Here is a 21970-nt window from a genome sequence, read left to right on the forward strand (position 1 = left end):
CTGATTCCTTTTTTTCCACGAGTACAGGAGGTAGATTGGTGAAGGATTTAAGTGACAGACACCACTTTGTGTCTCGCAATAAAATTATTTCTTCTCTCCAAACATGATACTCTCTTATGCAGTCAAGTTTGATATCCTTGAATTCATCTTAACTGAAAAACAATTGTATAGCACTTAATTTGTGCCAAGTGCTGTTGTAAATACTCTCTTAACATGAACTCATTTAATTCTCACTACAATAACAGAATCAGGTACTGTTATTAGCTTCATGTCACAAATGAGGAAGCTGTGGCACACAGAGGTAAGCAACTTGCTCAAGGTCACACAGCTAATAAAATAAAGACTTATACTTCAAACCCAGGTATTGTGTGCCCTTACTGCATCACTGAAACAGGCTGCCTCTTTCTTCACAAGAAAATACTTCAGTACCTCAATAAATGACATATAGTAAGCCTGATTTACCAGTTCACTATACATTCCAGGTTAGTCTGAAACTGCAGCCCACAACATAGACACCGTGCACATGAATAGGCTTCAGTCATAAGAAATTGACTACATATGTTCATCAGTCCTTTTTCATTTTATTTCAAAGCTGAGATAACTGTGCAAATGCATATGCATTATCTTTCCTTCTGTTTCTAAACATTCATGTTCTTAAAATAGCTTTGCACTTGTAATCATATTATTTTGTTTTTTGTACAATGTTAGGCAAGTAGCAAGAAAACCATTTAAGAGCCTGTGTTTTGCTGCCAGACTGCATTGGTATGAATCCAGATTGTCACATAATATGTGACCTTAGGCAAGTTACATACTCTGTTGCTCAGTTTTCTCATATGAAAAATAGAGATTATAATACAACTTACTTTATAGGGTTGAAATGAGAACTAAATTAGCAAAGAATGTAAAGCATGTACACAGTGTTTAGCATGTGGTAAGCATTATGTCAGTGTATAGGTTATATACAATTTGCAAAGTATGCTACCATTCATATATACTTCAGTTTGGTCTTTTCTCATTTTTGGACAATTATTGATATATTTTTATAAATCTAGAGGTGCCCAGAGTTTGATTCTTAAGCCTCATTAGCATTCTCAAAGAAAAATTACATATTAAACCCATTTACCCATACATTGTTGAGAAGTAGCAAGTTAGAAAGTAAAAAATTAAAAACTTCAACATAGCACAAATTTATTGAATTCAGTTACAGCCCTGGCTCTGTGGAATTCCTGCAAGCCTTTAGTCTTCCTTCTAATTACATGGGAAACACATCCATTAAATTACAAGGGTAAAATACCAATGATAATTTGGAAATTTGTATAGATTTCTTAACTTTTTGGCAAATACACACATAAATTAAGAATCAAGGAAATTTCAGTATCCTAAACAAACATATCATGGGTCATATTTCTATACATTTTAGCCACTTATTGTATAATAGTTTGACTTTTGAAATGACAGACAAAATAATTTATATGTGTATATTATTTTACCTAGCATATGTAGGTATAGAGAATGCTTAGTTTCTTATGGGGATCTTATTATTGAATGGTATTTTGAAACTCTGATAGAGTAATAGGATTTGAAGACATGTGATTACAAATGTGCTCACAAATTGAGGTCAAATGTAAGATGATTAGTCAAGTTATATCTAATGTTGTTATAATCCTGTGCTATTTAGAAATGTCAACTGAGTAGTGACTTAGAAAAAAACTGACACTCCATTTTCTTATCTTTCTTTTAAATGTCATACTGAAGAGCAAAATACATGTGGGCCAGAGGGTATTTTGAGTTGTTTTTGAACTAAGGTTTTTATATATTGAAGTCAATATATACTTTGGTCTCATTTATATGATAACATAACACCTTATTTCAATGAAACATAGAATATTAACACATTGAAACATAGCATAAAAAGGGAAAGCTCTAGAGAGGGGGCAGTGAAAGAGGAAGTTTAACCCTTCAGTGCTTCTTCATGGGTCATTGAAGCTGTGATGTCAGTTTTCCAATGTACACTCAACTGGGATAGACTGCTAGAAAAAATTATCCTTTCATAAGTCCTCTATTACTTGTTTTTTTTTGTTTTGTTTTCATGTTATTCCACACTTTCAGATTCAGAATTCAGATTCAGATCAGATTCAGGCTTTGTTAGCTCCTGACATGCCTTTACCAAATTTCTACTGGACAATGGAACTTCCTCATATTCGTGTATATTTATTGAAGTCGTAATATATGACAGTCTGGCAGGTTCTGAGAAAGTATGTACTATAGTAATGTTTACTGATCACCTAGAAAAATATACAAGTAACTTCACAGTCTCAGTCAATATGATGAATTCTTGTCAGAAATATCTACAAGATTGATTGAAGCTTGTGGAGAGGTACCCAATTCAGAGGGGCACACTTAGAAAAGGAATTTGTAGGAAGAAGAGACAATCAATCTGAAGTTTGAAGTATTCACTAGAGTTAGTTGAGTGACAAAAGAGTGTAGTAGTGACAAATACACGTATTGGAAGAAGTGAATCTCAGTTTCATCAATAACAGGTTGTGTGACCTCAGTAGGGACATCATGCAGAGTTGTTCAGGGTGATCTTCATACCAATGTTTTGGGCCAAAATTGCTAATCAACATGAAAGCCAGCCAGAGGTCTGCTTGCCCACCCACAGACCACACTAATTTCTATGCCTGCTTAGGGCAGACATATTTTTCTAATCCACAGGTACAATGCAGCTCTAGACCTTAAATTAGTTACTTAACATCACTAGCCTTCAGATGCTTAAAGTGGAGATTATAATAGTAGCTACTTCATAGTGTTGTGAGAATTACATGAAACAATTCTCATAATTTGTTTTAATGTGCTTAAATAAGCTCAGGAAATTTTTTGTCATCATGAGAAAAGATGAAGTCGGGGAGATAAACATGGATAAGAATGATTACCAACACCAATATTTTTCCAAGTGGAAGTCTCACAATATGAAATAAAACAAGATTCTGAGATATGAGATAATATCAAACAAAAACTATATCTGACATCTTGAATTTAGAATAAGTTACTTCTCACTAAATGAAACTTTTTGTTTAATTTTTATGGTTTAAAAAAATCTCTATTCACATTATATTTCTTCTTTTCACTTTTTTTTCTTCTCCTTTTCCCTTTATATTCAGTGTATAAAGAGACCTGCCGGTCTTGTCCATAAATATTGCTTGTAGCAAGTAAAAAGCTTCAAAACCACAAAACATCTGCATGGTTACCCATTGAATTTATTTTTCATATAAACGGCTTTGACTCTGCTAATAGATAAATAAATTAACTGTCATTTTAATTTTCAGCAAAATTTAGAGAGAATTGATGTTTCAAATATCATACACTTTGCCCCTGCTGTTTCTGTTTCTTCCTTCTGAACTACTCAGACCAGTACCAGCGACAAGGAAATGACTCCTTTTGATTACAAAATAAATGAAAATTGAAGATCTGTCAAAATGTATCCAGTAGAATTGCACAGAGCAAAATAATTCTTCAACTCTGTGATGAAAGGATGAGCTCCCTCTGTGATCATCACTTACTAGGATTGAAGAATTCATGGTTGTGTGGTTTGAAATTAAACTGAGTTCAAAAGTCTGAAAGAATTTTTTTTTCTTTCTGGTTATCTCCTTGAAAACAAACAAACAAACAAACAAAACCTGAAAAGTCCGTACCAGTAAGATATTTGGATTACTATGCAGCAAAATTCACTATTGAGCTATTAAGTAAATGAACGACAGTGGTTGTTAAAATTTTCTTATATCATTATATTATCCAGATATCCATAAGTTATGCTAATTTTAACCTACATATTTTGATATTTAATTCTCTGTTATTAAACTCATGTTGCTACAAATATTTGAAAAATTCCTAACTGTATAGAGATTTTGATGTATGGCAATTATGACTAGCTTATGTAGAATATAAACTAAAAATACCAGAGAACATGGACACATAGCAAATTAAATAATAGGTTAGGAATCTTTCAGAAATTTGTTAATTTTAAGATTGAAAAACAGGTATTATTCATCAAAAACTCACAATATCATAGATGAGAAATTACATGTATCTGATTCAAATTTCTGCAATAGAAAATATATATCAGCATAAAACATGATAAATAATTACACTGCAAAAATTTCCATGGTAAATTATACCTTTATTTTACAACAGTGAAAACTTTTCATCAAATTAGAAATTTAAAAAAACATAGAACATAAGCCTTTAATTTTTTTATAGAATTTTTGTACTCACTCTTCATTCAGTGTTTTAGTCATGATCTTTTATGGTTATTATCTTCATTCAAAATTGACCCCAAAATAATATGCCAATTATTTATTTACTTTTTATCTTTCAATACTTTTTTGTTCACTCCTCATTTCCATTATCATTTTGTATAAGGATTATTGGTTAACTTTCCAATGCTTCTTTTAGGTTTCATGATATTAGGGTGGGATTGTAACTAAACAAGAAGAGGATGAACATGAGTGCTGGGACTGAGGCCAAAGATAGATGCCATGATTGTTAGGAATTTGCATCTGGCTTCTTGTGGAGAGAGTGAGAGAGATTTATTTTGTACTGGGGAGAGTCGCATTTTGTTAGGCAGAAGCATGTTGCTTGTATTTGCTACATCAACACAAATGGCTGTAGACTGGTATAGTCTGTATTGTTTGTCAATTTTCTCTCAGCTCCAAATACGACAAAATAGAAGGAGATTGGAATGCAGGAAGAGAAAGGGGGACAAGGTCCTACTAAATGCTTTGTTTACTATTTTTGCCCAGAAGTAGACCTTTCCTCCTAGAGCAGCAGGTAGTTCTCCACGAGCTTCTTCAGACACTCTTTGAACCAGTCTCATTATTCTTCCTTAGTGGAACCAGCTACAGATTAGTTTCTTCTTCAGGAAGAAGTTCCAGATCTGTGTTGCTCTTCTTCCCAGACTCTAGGATGTGACAAAGTAACTTCTTCCTTTTGTTCTGCAAGTCATTTTTTTTCTTTTTTTTGAGTTATTATCTCTGGATCCTGTTTTCTCTTTTTGCTTATACAGCCTTCCAACAGCTTTGTTACAAATTCTCTATATTAAATATAGGGAATTTGTTGAAATAGGTAGTGTGATTTCTTTTTGTCCAGTTGTGTGTAGCTCAATAGAAATATTAAAACCATATTGTCATATCATTTGCTAAAATATTAAAGTTCAATTTATCTCATATTTTTATGGAATCTTGATATTTTGAACTTCATAGATTTTACTTTCTGTTAGTTCTGAAGATTCTTGTAGTCCCTGAAGAAAAATTCTTGCTAGAGAACTAGCTAAATACAAGGTTACTATTTTAAAATGTCAAAAGTAAACAGAAAATTTCAAATCAGATGTATTATCTTGAAAACAGTATAACTTGGAAGTGAATATTAATGTCTTGGAAAAACTTTTTTTGTTCACTAAAAATAATTGGAAGAAAATAAAGTGATGGGGAATCACTTTTTTTTTTTTTTCTTTGAGATGGAGTCTCTCACTCTTGTCACCCAGGCTGGAGTGCAGTGGCACCATCTTGGCTCATTGCAACCTCCGCCTCCAGGGTTCAAGCAATTTTCTGGCCTCAGCCTCCCTAATAGCAGGGATTACAGGTTCGTACCACCATGCCCAGCAAATTTTTGTATTTTTAGTAGAGACAGGGTTTCACCATGTTGGTCAGGCTGGTCTCGAACTCCTGTCATTAGGTGACCGCCTGCCTCAGCCTACCAAAGTGCTGGGATTACAGGCACGAGCCACCATACCCGACTGGGAGTCACATTTTAAGGTATTTCATTTCTTGTAAATGTTCTTTGATACAAAAATGAAAATTAATTTTATGAATAGGGTAATTTGGAGAGCTATTAAAAAACAGAGCAAAAAGTAAAGGAGAAAGCATCCCAAGTTATTTGTCCATTAATTTATATCTTTAAAAGTAGACAAATCTAAATAGAAGTAGTACAATAATGAGGACTAAATGTTCCCAGTTGTTGTGAATCAAATCAATGTCTCCCATAATACTTCACTAATGTATAATGAGGAAACAGGCAATAAAATAACAATATGTTATAAATAACCAAAATGCATGAAGTACTATCATAATTAAAGAATGTTTCTTGGATCTCATAAACATCAAAAAGATATTTGACACCACCTTACACATGGTTATAAAGCAGTGGTCCTCAATGTTTTTGGCACCAGGGATCAATTTCTGGTTGTATGAAAGACAATTTTTCCATGCTTGGGGCAGGACGATGGGGATCCCTGTTACAAAGAATACATTTTCAAAAACCAAAAGCAACTGCACACAAAAATCTGTGGTTGATTTAATAGAAAGTATGGTTCTGTCCATGATAATGACAATGGGAAAAAGGACTTCTAGTAATGACAGCAGAGTGGCATGTTTGCATTAACTACTTTCAGATTATAACTGTAAACATTATGTAAACTTTTTTGAAATATTATTTCATTTACAGCGTACAAAAAAAAGTAAAGCAAAGCTAGGAAGGGGTTAATTTCAAAAACTACAACTGAAAGGAATAAAATAATTGTGATTTTCTTCCTTTTGAAAATTTATAGAAAATTGTAGAGTCACATTGGTCTAATAACAGTAAGTGATTAGGAGATGATGCCATGTAAAAATTTAGAAATTATTCTTATTCCTAATATTATGTGGTTTATTATGTTTTAATTTTTCACCTACTTTGATTTATACAATTGTACATTTTATGATGCAATCCACATTAAGTATTTTTGGAAGTAATTTCCTAAATATGTAAATATATAAAAAGTATTCTGGGTACCTCAAAAGAAGTAATGAAGTGGGTCCACTCCCATCAAAAGGAAGTAGAAGTCATGTACAGCATTGTTATGCTTGTCACTAGTAGGAATACTCGTTATATTTTATTAAAATGACAACTTTTCTGGCCTTGCAATGGTCAGGTAAATAAATCCTTATCACTACCTAACTGAAATAGCTCTGTAACTGAATTCATCACTCTTTTCTTCCCTGAGTCACTCCCATCTTACACCATCAATAATGGTTTCCTCTCCCATATAGCACAACTCCATTCTTTTAAAACTGTTATTTTAATCACTTACTTGATTATTTGTTATCCACTCCTTCTTTCAATTACTGTATCTAATATATCATCTTTGGGTACTTCTATTTTTATGTAGATTTGTTCTTACTTATCTCAATTTAACAAAGAACTATTCATATACTTAGCGCCTTATGACTTCATTATTTCTTTCTAAAATGACTGTTTTCTTCTCCTTTCAAACTTTTAATGTCTTAGATTAGAGTCCTCTCATGGTTGTCCAGTGTGTATAAACACTGATACAAAATTATTTTTAAAACAAAAGGTACGCTATTTTTAATCTTTTGATGTTTCAGTTTTATCCACTGTAAAATGACTGACACTTTCAGCTCCCTTGTAATAGTTTCCAAAATCTGACCTGACTCTAAGAAGACAACCATAACTCCTGCTTTTCCCAAGACAAATCTACTTCTTCAGCCTAACCATTCTCCTCATCTTTCTTATTCTTCACCACTCCTAACAACAACAAGAAAAAGGGATATGCTCTCTAGGTTTGAGGTGCTTGTCTTTTTCTGCTATCTATATGAAAGCAATATATTTTATCAAAGACAAATTCAGTTCCCACTTTCTCTAGCATCCTTTGTCAAACTACATCAGTAACATCTGTGATACTGTACCATGTTATTTTCTTTATTATATATTTGATTACTTAAATACATGTCTATATATTTTTCACCTTAATCGTCAGTGCCTTACCTCTTTACCTTGGTGGAAGCTCCTCCAAGGAATTCATGGAGGTAACCATTTCTTACATTTACATATCCCCTCAGTGATTAGTAAAATGCTTTATGTGTAGATGATGTCCAATGAATATTTGCTTGAGCACAGTGCTTATATATTTCCAGTTTGTTAACCAGAAACATTCGACAATAACAATTTATTTTTTCAATAATCATTTGTTTGTGCTGATTTGCAATGGACATCCAAATGAATCTTTGGGACGACTTTTTTTTGTGTCAAAATTATCAAATGAAGAGCCACAGCAAGAGGTCTTCCAAATGTGCTTTCAGAAAAAATAAAATACCGTATGGTTTTAACAACAACAAAATCCAGTTCCAGACAATTTTGTGTGCCTAACAGATTGGAGTTTTATCGCAAATATGTTGGTTAGTTAATGAATTCATTTGAGTGTGATTAACTTCTGGATTGCCGCAAACCTGTTTATGTATGAAATTATGGTTTGGAATGATCACTTGTTGGCTTATGAATCAAATAACTTGGTTTGTATATAGAAAATCCAATGTGCATATGGTGTGAATACCACTTGTAAAAATATAATTCATAGGAAATGGATAGTGTGAATTTGTGGTGACTTTGTAAATTGGCTGACAACTTGTTTTGTGACATATGCCCAGAAGGAATGCTTTATGTATCTCACAAAAGAGAGTTTTAAATTTTAGGTTTTATTCTCTTTATAGATTATAATCAAAGGGGTATGAAATTATCTCCTTTGGATTCTTCTTTCAATACTTCATCTTAATCATTGCATATAATTATAATAAAGCCTTTTGATTTTAAGAAATTAATCTATGTTTTTACATGTAGCATTTTGTAATAGCTGCATAATATGAATTTTTAAAGTTGTAATATAGACAAATCTTCACTGCACTTATGAATTTTTAAAAGTTGTTTTAAAATAGACAAATCTTCAGTGCACTGATATCTGTGTAACATTGGCTAAGAGAAAGAGGAAGCCTTTGAACTACATGTTTACTAAGCCTTTTTATTTTTAAGCTACCATTTCCTTTAGTTTCATCTACCAATTACCATTTTGGTCAGTTAATTGGAAACTATTTGTAAAGTCTTTTATTTCTGAGAAGGTAGAAGAAGAACAATCTGAAAGAATTCAGACAGAAAATACCTAGAAATGTTTGACTTGATGTTATGCTTTCAAGCTAATTATAAATCAATGATATAGCATACGAATTTTTGAATTTTCTAATGCAGGAATCATATTTTACCACAAAATTAAATGTGTTGCCTACCAATAGCTATATGCCTTAAACATAATATACACTGGTGGTTTCTTCTTTTCCATTAGTGTTGACGATAGAGTGATTCTCTCATAGTTTCATGATGCAGTATATTTTTATAACAAAGGTGTGACAAAGAGAAATTCTTCAACCTATTTTAATATAAGAGGATAAATTGAATTTTAGTTTTGTGTTTTTACCTTCCTTAGTTAAAATCTGACAACCAGCAAAACTCAGGAAGAGCCAGAGGTAATTAATTAAACAGTTATTGAGTGCTTATCATATGCCAAATAATTTTCTTAATTTTAGAATGTACAATTACAATCAATGTTTACTTATATAATTTCTAAATGCAATCAATAATGTTGCCTCTTCTGACTGGACATCTCCCCTGGTATGTTCCCAATAGTGTCAACTACATCTCCCCTGGTATGTTCCCAATAGTGTCAACAATTAAAGAAAAAATATATGCCACAACAAGTATAAAGCCAGGGAACTGCAAACTTGTTTTGGCAAAAGTACAATGTCTGTTATCATGGAATAATTTTTAGTATTTTAAAATAATTTAATTTTTAATATTAAAACTCATCAATACATAATTCCCATAAATTCAGAATTTTGTACTTAATTTCAAAGTTTAGATAAAGAATGAGGGCACTCAAAAATAATACCAGATATTTGACATGAAAAATAGGAAGTAGTCCGTGAATCTGAAAGATTAATAAATGCATGTGGTTTAAATGTTTAAATGCAATTTTCAAGAAAGAGCAAATTTCACATTGGAAATTTAAAAGACTGAAACAGAACAATCTATGTATCTATCTATCTATCTATCTATCTATCTATCTATCTATACTTAAATTCTGATAATGCCAACAAAGATGATAAGAATGATTTTAAAATGATGACACATTTAGCATTGCTCTTAGAGTCACAGGTTTTAGGTATCTAAAAGGCACATTCAACATAATTATGACTCCAAAAGCTTTTATAATAATAATGATTCCATGCCAGGCTTACTGGCTCATTCCTGAAATTCCAGTTATTTGGGAGGCTAAGGCAGGAGGATTGCCTGAGGCCAGGAGTTTGAGCCTGGATAACATAATGAAGCCCTGTCTCTACAAAAAATATATATATTTTTTTAGATAGCCAATATCTAAAACTCTTGTAGGCCCAGCTACTCAGGAGGTTGAGATGTGAGAATTGCTTGGGTCCAGGGGTTTGAAATTGCAGTGGGCTATGATGGCACCACTGAACTCTAGCCTGGAAGACAGAATAAGAACCCATCTCTAAAAATATATAGATATATAATAATAATGACCCCACCTTAGGTTTATACTGAACTTTGCAGTTTGCTAAACTCTTTTATAGATAATATCACATTTTGTTCTTATAAGTCTAAAAGACTAAAAAAATTGTCTTACACACACACACACACACACACACACACACACACACACACAGGCTTACTTTAAAATTAAGAACGATAGTACATGTTCCATAGTAACTACTGACAACTAAGCTCTTTCCATATGCTGTTGTGATGCTTAATTTATGTGTCAACTTGGAGGGCATTTTGGATGAAATTAGCATTTAAATTGGTAAACTTTGACTAAACAGACTGTCCTCCATAATGTGGCTAGGGCTCATCTAATCAGGTGAAGGTCTGAAAAGGGCAAAAATATCAGTCTCCCAAAGCAACAGGGAATTGTCCAGAAGACAGTCTTTGGACATCACCCTTGCCATCAGTTTTCCAGAGTCTCCAGCCGGCCAGTCTTTGAACTAGAACTGAAAAATGGGCTTTTCTTGGTCCTTGACCTGCCAGCCCACACTGTAGATTTTAGAATTGTCAACTTCAATTTATTTTTAAAAATATCTATCTATCTATCTATCTGTCTATCTATCTATCTATCTATCTATCTATCTATCTATCTACCTACGTATCTATCTATCTGTACATACATACACATCCTAATGGTTGTTTCTCTGGAAAACACTGACTAGTACACCTGCTCTCTCATTAGTACACATTCCAAACATGATGCATATGTATTATGTGCATATGTGCATATATGTGTTTATGTACATGTTTGAATTTGTGTGTACATGTACATACACATACATGCATACAGAACTAGAGATAGAGATAGAAATAGAGATATATCCAGGGACACTTGAATAAGCCTGCATCTAGTGGACTGAGGGATTTGAGGCCTTTTCCATGTAACAATACTTTATCATCTATGAATATTTGAAATTGGTAAATTATTACAAGAAGAGCCTATTAGAGCCAGGCTTAAGCCATTCCATTCCTATGATGCAATTTAATTCAGTTATAACAAGAAAATATAATACAATGTTCTTTTGTCTCTGTTTCCCCTATTTTGAGAAATTCTTTCTTGCTTGTCACCTTGTGATATCTCTGAGGGTGAATAGACAATCTGGTTCTTTAGTGATGCAAATGAGAATGAAAGAATTGTAATTAGGTGCCATCACAGTCAATCATTGTAGGCTTAATGGAGGAAGGGAGACTATCTCAAGGAGGAGAAGTGACATATGTCCATAAAAACATGTCCCAGAATATGTCCCAGAATATGTCCCATATGTCCCAGAATATGTCCATAAAAACAAAAACCTTTTGTTCACCCCTTTTCAAACATGGTACCTGGAATCTAGGATTGGTAACTTAAAGTATTAAGAGAAAAGACTTAAGCATCAGAAGATTAGGAAAAAGGGTCAACAGCTATATTTATTATTCCATATTAGCTTTGGTAGAGGGAAAAAAAAATCTTCATAAAAAGTTACTTCTGACTGATCTTCCTCAGCTTCCTAATGTCTTGGAGTTCAAATTGACAAAAGACACTGATTTATTAATATAAACCTTGACAAGTTAAAAGATATTCTTCTTAATCTTGTCCCAAATTCCCCTAAGACAATATGACTATCTGAGTTCTAAAGATAAAATTTATGAGTTGGAAGGATTAAATTACTTGCCCCAGGTCATTCAGCTTCTAAATGGGCATGCACTGGTTTCCAATAGAATCTGATTCTGAATCCTTTTGACTGGAGCACACTTATCACTAAACCACCCACCCCTTGTCTCTCCCTGCTGGAATGTAAGTGCCATGGGGACAGGGAGTATTATGCGTATTGCTCACTATTAACTTTTCAGTACCCAGGATAGTGCCTGACATGAAGCAGGCACTCAATGAATATTTGTTAAATGGTATATATTTGGACCAGTTTGAAGTGCCTCACTAGTATTTTTTATTGTGTGTGTATATGCATATATACATATATGAGTAAACACTAAGTTAATAGAGTTTTTCTGTGTCTTTTATTGTATAATTTATCTCATCCATATTGTTCACTAGTAAATCAAATAAGCAAGCAAACAAAAATAATTTTTACTTTAAGCAAAATATTGTACCTTTAAAGTTCATGATTGATTCAGGATTTTAATTCTTCCTTTAATATCAGTCTTAGCCACAGGCCACTGCGAAGATCAAACCTAAAAAAAGTCATTTACTTTTGTCAAGATTCAGTCCTTAAGTATGTAAATATTTCATATAATATTTTATTGATATTAGAATAATTGGAATAACTTATTTATGTTCCAAATGAAGTCAATAATCTGTGATATTCACTGCTAGAAAGATAAAGATAAAATAAAGTAATTATGATAATGAAAATTTGAATACCTACAGTATTGTGTTAGATTTCTTCAGAGTTACAGAACCAACAGGATGTGTGTTGTTGTGTTGTGTGTGTGTGTGTTTGTATTATACACACATATATACATATATGTGTATATACACACATATATACATATGTGTGTATATACACACATATATACATATGTGTGTATATACACACATATATACACATATACATGTATAACATGTATAATATGCAACATGTATCTGTATATAATATATGCATACATGTTATATATGTATATAGGTATTATATATTATATAAAGAGAGACAGATAATATATACATACATATGTACAGAGAGTGTGAGAGAGATTTATTATAAAGAATGGACTCATGCAATTATGGAGGATGAGAAGCCCCATGTTCTGCAATTAGTGCACTGGAGACCCTGGAGGGCCAATAATGTATTCCCAATGTGAGTTTGAAGGCCTAAGAACCAGGAGGGTTGATGGTATCAGTTCTAGTCTGAGAACCAATGTTTTAGTTCAAGTCCAAAGACAGGAAAAATCTCTTGTTCTTGCTCAAGCAATCAGACAGAAAAAATACCCTCTTACTCATACGAGGTCAGCATTTTTGTTCCATTTTGTGCCTTATCTGATAACCTGAGGTTTACTTACATCAGAGAGGGCAATATGCTTTACTTAGTCTAACAATTAAAATATTAATTTCATGCAAAAGCACCCTCACAGACACACTGAAATAATGTTTGACCAAATGGGCACCCATAGTCCAGACAAGTTGAATCATAAAATTCATCATCACAGGCATCTTTTCTTCTAATCCACTACTAGAAATGCTCTTCGATAAATGCTTTACTCACAGAAGGTCTCTTTATTCCAATACTGCAGTGTTTTATCTCTGTGAAAAAACTACATTTCAGTTTAAGAACATTATTAAACTGTGGGTTTATGTTTAAATGTCAACCTTGAAATACATTGCATTTCAAAAGATCAATAGAGTTTTAATTTATTTTTGATAAATGTCTTTCATTGAAAGAAAAATAAGAAACTGTCAATGATCTGTTCTCATGTAGTTATTAATGTAGTAATTTTTTAATTGTTGTAGAGACTTAAGGAAGGAACACTTTCTCAGTCAGTATCACATTTTTGGATTAGTGTGTGTGTTTCCAAATTCTCGACAATCAATCCTGATCATTTTTTTTCTTAATGGCTAGATTGTTGAGCCATGGTTTATTTATTTACCTGAGCCACACAAAATCAGATATTCTAAACTTAAATGATGTATTACATACATTTATAAAATTGTCTTTCTAATTATTTTATTATCTGAAAAAATATAACTTTGTTTTCTCTTTGTGTGTAGCTGTGTGCTCGTGTGTGAGTGTGTGTGTGTGTGTGTGTGTAGAAGGGGAGTAATTTATGTGCTTAGAGAGATTTGTTGTTGTTGTTTTTTAATGTTTTTAGCTAAACAATACTGTTGTCTGACTTCAGTCTTTTTCAAGAGCAAAGAAATGTCAATCCATGAATCCAGAGAGATAGAGTTCAGGGACTTGTTTCTTCTGATAAACCTGCAGTTGACTCTCATGGTGTATTTGGAATAAATGGGTCAGATTAGTGAAATGTCATTTTTGTTGTTTCTATTTTGCAGTTTATAAACTTGGAATGCTCCAGAAGTTTAAGAGCCAAGAACAATGCTGGCATGATCATAAGGTCAATTACATCTTAACATTTGCCAAAAATAGAGTAGTGGCCTCAAAATAGTTTCATTTCAGAGAAAGGGATATAAAAAGAGTGGGTACCAATAATTATATAAAAGTATTATACTAATCTAAACCATGATCATCTGATGTCCCATTTCTATGGCTCCTGAGTTTTTCTCCAACTTGAATAAGCCTGAATCTAGTGACATATGCATTCTATGTGTTAACTAAATATCAAGGATCAATAACACTGGGTTTCCACTGAAGAGCCTTTAGGGCTACTAAGAATTTAAAGGTGAAACAGAGTCTGCCAGCACTCCTGCTCCAAACAGAAACATGTGCTGTCTTAACTATTTTAAATTCTGGGATTTGACCTCAACATTTTATTATGCAACCCTATTATACTGTCTAAAAATAATATTTTCAAGCCAGTGACTCTCCAGCAAGTCTGTGTAACTACCACCACCACCATCATCAAGGTTAATTACAATATTTCCCAAGACTCTTCCAAAATCTTTACATATATTATACATTTGTGGCAAAGGTTAAATGTATATATGAGGAAAATAATACATTAACTGAAAAGTATATAAACATTATATCTAATGCTATCCAAAAAGGTTGCTCTAGAAATCTAAAAATTACTTTACTTTGGCTCAACTTACTTTATTTCCAACCAGATTAACAAGACTTATGACTCCATTAACACTGAATCGAAAATGATTCACTGTGGTGACCTTTCTAAGCTGAAAAGAGGACTATAGCATCTTGAATAGTCAACGCCTATATTGTAATTTAAAGGCTAAACAATACGTAAACTAGATTTTAAAGTGTAAATGCCATCCTTACCGTGTCACTTTTTCAGTTGGAAACCTCTGCGGCTGGTGGTGCCTTTGCCTGAGTTTTACACGGGCCCGCTGGCCTCTTCTGCTCACTCGCCCCAGCAGGCTGTATTTGGCTCATAATACTGACCTGGATCCCACACCTGCCAAGGGCGAGCCTGGTGAGGAGTAGCAAGGGGTGTGTTAATAAGCATGGGGTCTGGCCACTGCACACAGCCATGCGTGCTTGCTGCCACTGGGCAGGCAGCTCCAGGCGCCAGCACAGGCGTGGGTTCCGTGTGAGACTGGCTGGACCAGGCGTTACCACAAATGGCTTCCACTGCAGGCACTGGGAAATACGATGGCACCCGGAAGCTTGGAGACACCAGAAACTGCGGAGCCCCAAAGAGGGTGTCACAGCCCTGGCTCAGGAGTCTCTAGGTCTGGGATTCCTGAAGGGCCACAGCAGTTCGTTTCTCCTCGTCGCCCACAAAGTGGCGAGCGGTGGGCATGTTTCAGCCCTGTTTGTGTTACCGCTCTTTCAGTCCCACCATTCACTGGGTCCCAGGGTCTTGTTCCACGACAAGAATGAGGTACACGGACAAGTGGAGGGTGAGCAAGGCAGAGAGGAGCTTCATTGACAGAACGGCTGCAGAGGACCGGAAGTGGACAGCTCCTTTCCGCAGGCGGGTTGTCCCAATGAGTGTCCACCTCAGCAGAGAGGAGACCCGTAGTGGGTGGTTCCGCTCACATGCAAGTTGTCGTGATGAGTGCAGCTCTCAGTGGAGCGGAGAACCAGAATGGGTAGCTCCTTTCCACAGGCAAGTCATCCTGATGTCTATGTGAGTTTGGCTGGTTTCGGGGATTTTACGGTCTCAGAAGGGAGAAAGTACGTGCTGATTCATCCATGGGCAGCCATGGGCAGGCTGGTAAAAAGCACCATGAGTTCCCACTCCACCTGGATCTGACAGCCCGGCCACCAGGCTTCAGGCCGTCTCTACCTTGAAGGTGGGGCTTCACGTGGGACTAATCCCTTTCCACCCAGGAACCTGTTTGCCTCCCGCCATCAACATGCAGTCCACAGTGCCCAGGCTGTTCTTACCAAGCAGTGGCCTTTGCCAAGCTGACTTCAGCCCCTCCTCAGCCTCCATCCCATGTTCGTCGGTGCCCGAAGTCCAGAGGGGGCTGAGGTGGCAGAAGGCTGGCATTTCAGTGTCACCCTGAGCGTGCGCACACACACCCGGTCTGGTTGCAACAGCACCCAGGCTTTGCCACAACTTTGATCCTCACCAGAGTGGGCGCCAGGAGTGGGGTGAGGTCAGGCAATGGGAGCAGGAACTTTCAAGCCTGCGGTGGCAAGGAGCTTCCTGGGCCCCTGACAATACAGGGATGCTCGGATCTGAAGCTACAGCTGGGCAGCTGTAGCTGCGCCCAAGACCACAGGGCTCCCACTCTGCCAGCTCTGTAGGGGGATGGGCTCCTGCCTGTTCCCAGTTCCTACCGCCCTGAGGAGTGTGTCACCCGGGCCGCACTTCCTCCCCTGCAGCTGGCGTCTTTGCAGTGGCTGTTCCAGACCAGCTACCATTGCCATCAAAAACATGTGGTTGAGTATGAAAGAAAGCAGAGATTAAGAAGATGGATTATTTTCTGGTCTTATTCTTTTCAATACACAGTTGACCCTAGAGCAATGCTGGTGTTATGGGTGCTGACTTCCATGCAGCTGAAAATCTGAGCATAACCACTGACTGCTTAAAAAGTTAAATAGTAGAAGCCCACTGCTGACTGGAAGCCTCACCCATATCACAAAGATTCAATTAACACCTACTGTATTCTAACAATAAAGTAAGCTAGAGACAAAAAAACGTTATTAAGAAACTCAGAAGGAAGAAAAAACATATTTACTATTCATTAAGTGAAAGAGGGACATCCTTTCTGTCTTCAGGTTGAGTAAGCTGAGGAGAAGGAGGAAGAAGAAGGGGGGTTGGTTTTTCTGTCTCAGGGGTGGCAACGGCAAAAGAAAACTTACTTATAATTGGACTCATGCAGTTCACACTTAGCTGTTGAAGTGCTGACTGCATTTTACAATATTAATAATTATACTTGATTATAAAATTTTAGAGGTAAGATATACTACCAACTGAAAATGTAGTTATAATTACAGAATAACCATATTAGTAACTGTTGCTTCATTTTTGACCATGTAAGATGTGAAAAATATGCACTACTGAGGAAAAGGCAGAACAAATTTTAGTAATTGATTTCCCTAAGAATTCCTAAATGGTGATGAACATGAACTGTGATGGTTTCCACCTTTAATGTGGGTGGGCACTATCCAGCCTGCTGGGGGTCTGGAGAAAAAAAACAAACCTGTCTATCTGTTAGAACTGAGATGCACTCTTTTTCTGCTGTCCTTGGACAGCAACTCCAGACTCCATGGCCTTTTTATTCTTTTTTTTTTTTTTTCTTGAGACAGAGTCTCGCCCTGTCGCCCAGACTGGAGTGCAATGGCGTAATCTCGGCTCACTGCAATCTCCATCTCCCTGATTTAAATGATTGTCCTGGCTCAGCCTCCTGAGTAGTTGGGATTACAGGCACCTGCCACCATGCCTAGCTAATTTTTATATTTTTAGTAGAAACGGGGCTTCACCATGTTGGCCAGGCTGGCCTTGAACCCCTGACCTCGTGATCTGCCCACCTCGGCCTCCCAAAGTGCTGGGATTCCAGGAGTGAATCATCATGCCCGGCCTTGCCTTTATATTCCAAGACTTACACAAGTACCAAGTCTCTCCTGGATGTTCACACCTTTGGCTTTGGACTGAGAGTTACATCTTCAACTTCTTTCGTTCTGAGGACTTTGGACTTGGACTGAGCTACACTACCAGCATCTCATCCTCCACCTTGCAGGAAATCTGTTGCAGGTCTTCTCAACCACCATAATCAGGTGAGCCAATCCCTCTAGTAAATTCCCTCTCATTTATGTATGTATGTATGCGTGCATGTATGTATGTATGTATGCGTGCATTTATGTATGTATGCATCTATCTATCTACCTACCTATCTATCTGTTATTAATTCCATCTCTCTAGAGATCCCTGACCAATACATGGACAAAATGTGACTTCAACTGAAAGCCAAAAATAGCAAATGGAGTTTGATATGCCACCTTGCCTGTCAAAGTGTGATACAGAGTCCAGTAGCATCAACATCTCCAGGGAGGTTTTCATAGATTCAGTATCTTAGGCCCCACTACAAAATCAGGATCTGCATTTTCTCAAGATCCTCAGATAAATTGCGGAAACATTCATGGATAAGAAGCACTAATATAAGGAATGTATTCAATGTGGGTTCAAAAACATTGATGAGAAAGATGAAATTCTTGGATTTTTATCTTATTTTATTCAATTACTATCAAGTTATCTAATTTTTAGAGATCAAAAGATAGCTTTATAACGCCCCTTCTATTTTTCTTAGGATGATCAAAGGGATTATGAAGAAAATGCCTTGGAAAAGTTGAAAGTAATCTATTTATATAATGAATAAATTATTGTTATTTTGGGATAAAATCTATTGCTTTTATTTAAACTTGGAACTTTGCTTCAAATAATTCACAATAATATTTGATTTGGAAAGAAGTTAAATTTATGAAATATTGAGAAAAACTTCAAAAGAGATTTTTACTGAATAATGAATTAATAATTCTAAAACTTTTCTATAAGCAGAATCTTACTTTTTTATTCTAGATAATGCTCTATATGCAAGAAGTGGGAAATTACATAAGCTAATTTGAAAATAAGTTTATGCTCTAACCATCCCTGGTCACAATGCCTTTTTTCTTTCCTTAATGGCAAACTAGGCTCGCCCGATTTGTACACCATGCTGTCTCAGGGCAGGGAGTGGTTTAGAGTTATTTCTGATTCAGTCACTTGTACCCTTATGTTGAACTAACATATATTGAGATCATAAAGATAAAGAATACTTAGTTAAGTACACTGTTCACTGAGTCCTCCTAAGGTGGCTCACATGGGCCAAGTCGGGGAATGTAATGGGTTTCTGTACATTTTATCAAAATGCCCTGTCTCTTTTCTACCTGATCCTACTGGACAAAAGGTGTAGGTATGAGTAGAAGACGATTCAACAACAACAACAACAAAAAGGCAAAGTTACAACTCTTGGAAATAGAGGCACCAATTTTGTGGAAAGCAACAATCATAGCACCTGGAGAGAAAATACCTTAGACTCCTGGAGATATGAGGAGGGGAAAACGTTAATGATCTTTTTTCTTTCAGAACTACCCTGGAAGCTCCCTCAAAGAATACATCCTGGTTTGACTATCCTAAACTGTTGGAAGTGCATTAAATTGTAAATGACTGCTGAATGTCATTCCTTGCCAGTTGCTTCTGACCATGATTTGATAGATATTCCACCTCATCTTAGACATCTATTAGAAACAGTAGACCATGATCCTATTTCTTACATCTCCGTGTAAAATAGCTGTTGGACTCTCTGAGTATCTACCCCATCTGCATTACCACGACAGTCACTCGGTCATTCCAAGGATAGACAAATGTTGTCCAGTGAGTGTCTGGATAACACAGGGTAGATTGATGGCCTTTAGGCAGTTTTTTTTTTTTTTTAAATCAAGCACTAAATGTAATTATTCTAACTTAATTGGAAACTCTAAGGTTTACCAGCCAGAGAGAGGCCATGTTCACTGTGCCATCAACTAGTACTTCCTGAGTGATGTAGGTATACTCGGTAGATCTCCAACATAATTAACTTTCCCTTTAGGGACACCATATACATCCCTGCGGCTGTACTTACGGGAAGCCAGAAATTAAGTTGCTTCCCTCCCAGAAACATGGTAATTGCACCTAAGGGGTGATAGCGTGATAGTGAAAGACTTTTAATTGTTTAAGAAAACACGACAGTAGATTATGTAGCCTTCAAATAAATGCTTAGATAGCTAAAAAATGAGGTTATGCTTGGTTACTTGGTGCATTTGGCTGAATGATGACCCCCCTTCCCCAAATATATATCCATATTCTGATACTTAGAGCCTGTGAATGCCACATTATTTTCTGATAAAACGGGTCTTGGCAGATGCTTGAGATAAGGATATCATTTGTATTATCTATGTGAGCCCTAAATGATTAATGACAAGGGTTCTTATAAAAGAGAGGTGGAAAAATATTCGAGAGACAGAAAGGAGAAGGTAATGTGACCACAGAGACAGAGATAGCGGTGAGTCCACTGCAAGCCAAAGAAAAACTGGAACTTTCAAAAGCTGGAAGAGGCAAGAAACAGATTATTCCCTAGAGCATGTGGAGGAAGCATTTTCCTACCAACAAATTGACTTTGGACTTTTGCTTTTAGGAACTGTAAGATAATACATTTTTGTTGCTTTAAGCTGCAAAATATAGCAGCCAGAGAAAATGAATACATTTGAGAAAGCTTCCCAGAAAATAAATGACTCATAAATTTCGTTTCTTACATAAAGTTATCTCAAAGAAGGAAGTAATTTAATTAGAAAGTTCATATGAAATTTGTTACTGGCTTTAGCAAAGTAATTAATGACACAACCTTGGCTCCTGGAGGTATTCAGGTCATCCCCTACTCTCTGGGCAAAGATGTCATGGATGATAGGTTTGCTCTAACTTCCTCCTTGCAAACCAAGACAGTGGCTAGAAAATTGCTAATGCATCTTGCTGCACCAGGAGTGATGCCTTCTGCTAAGTAGAAAGATCCCAATATAATTAATAAACCTAAGTAGAAAGCCACTTGGCTTTCTAGGGTAGATACTGATGGTTTCTGGGTTTGTTCACCAGATTGGATTCTGGACCCTGAGGTACATACTAAAATCAATATGGCAGGAATCTTGTTGATAATAGTCTTGATTAAACACTGAATGGACAAACTGAACAAATTTGGTCCCAGCTTCTGTTTTCAGATTAATCAGAGTGGTCAATGGAATAGTGTACTCATGGGAAAAGTCACTGGAAGTCAAGATGGTACAGCAACAAGGTGGGTTTATTGTTAAGAGACAATTTATCCATGGGCCTTTCATGTTTCTGAATGTCTTACAGACAGAGGCATTGGCTTCTTTTTTTCTGAAAAACTTTTCAGGAATATTTTTAGAACAAAATATTTCATAAAGGAGAAATAGTTTATCCCTTTAGACTAGAAAGGATGTTGGTTTACCATTCAGTATAAGAAAGGTAAGGTGTCCTTCTGGGAAAAGGCTTACTGCCATTATAAAATATTCAAGTTCTCGAAATAAGGGATTTTTCTCTTGTAATGCCCCCGCCACCCCACCACTGCATATGCAAGTACCATCTGGCCCTCTTTGCACTGTATTGTGGTGATTGTGGCTCAGCAAACTGGAGCAAATGCTACTGTTGTGAGTAATAAAATTATTTGTTTCTGATCCAGGAGCCTCTTCTGCAAGCATAAATGAAACTGCGGCAAGCTAGCTTGTAAGCTTGCAAGTCAGGTAAAATTGAAGTTCCTCAGATCCTTCACTGTTCTTGCTACCGTACAGCAGTCCAAAAGGGATGAACTTCATTTATGCATATCATATCTCGTTAAGAAACTGCTAATAAAAAAAGTGATTGAAAACATCAAAAGGACAAATTTTTTAAACCTTTTTTTCTCTTTTTTCTGAAAATACAATTTACA

General features: G+C 35.7%; 2 long non-coding RNA genes across 2 annotated transcripts, besides 1 other annotated feature; one reads left to right on the plus strand and one right to left on the minus strand.

Annotated features, from left to right (window-relative positions):
- On the minus strand, positions 1-15962 carry LINC02835 (long intergenic non-protein coding RNA 2835). Its single transcript, XR_002959796.2, has 3 exons — positions 15324-15962; positions 12526-12606; positions 1-152 (listed from the first exon to the last, which is right to left on the minus strand). It is a non-coding gene; the product is annotated as a long intergenic non-protein coding RNA 2835 (long non-coding RNA).
- Positions 15337-16214: an enhancer, noted in NCBI's record as "H3K27ac-H3K4me1 hESC enhancer chr4:66106913-66107790 (GRCh37/hg19 assembly coordinates)". NCBI's record gives its function as "activates a minimal SCP1, AML or CMV promoter by ChIP-STARR-seq in primed H9 embryonic stem cells {active_cell/tissue: H9 hESC(primed)}" and the evidence as "EXISTENCE:reporter gene assay evidence [ECO:0000049][PMID:30033119]".
- Positions 16043-21214, plus strand: LOC124900852 (uncharacterized). Its single transcript, XR_007058452.1, has 2 exons — positions 16043-18236; positions 19582-21214. It is a non-coding gene; the product is annotated as an uncharacterized LOC124900852 (long non-coding RNA).
- Positions 21215-21970: the final 756 nt, after the last annotated feature.

Source organism: Homo sapiens, chromosome 4, assembly GCF_000001405.40.
Source record: "Homo sapiens chromosome 4, GRCh38.p14 Primary Assembly".
In the NCBI taxonomy this organism is placed as follows: Eukaryota; Metazoa; Chordata; class Mammalia; order Primates; family Hominidae; genus Homo; species Homo sapiens.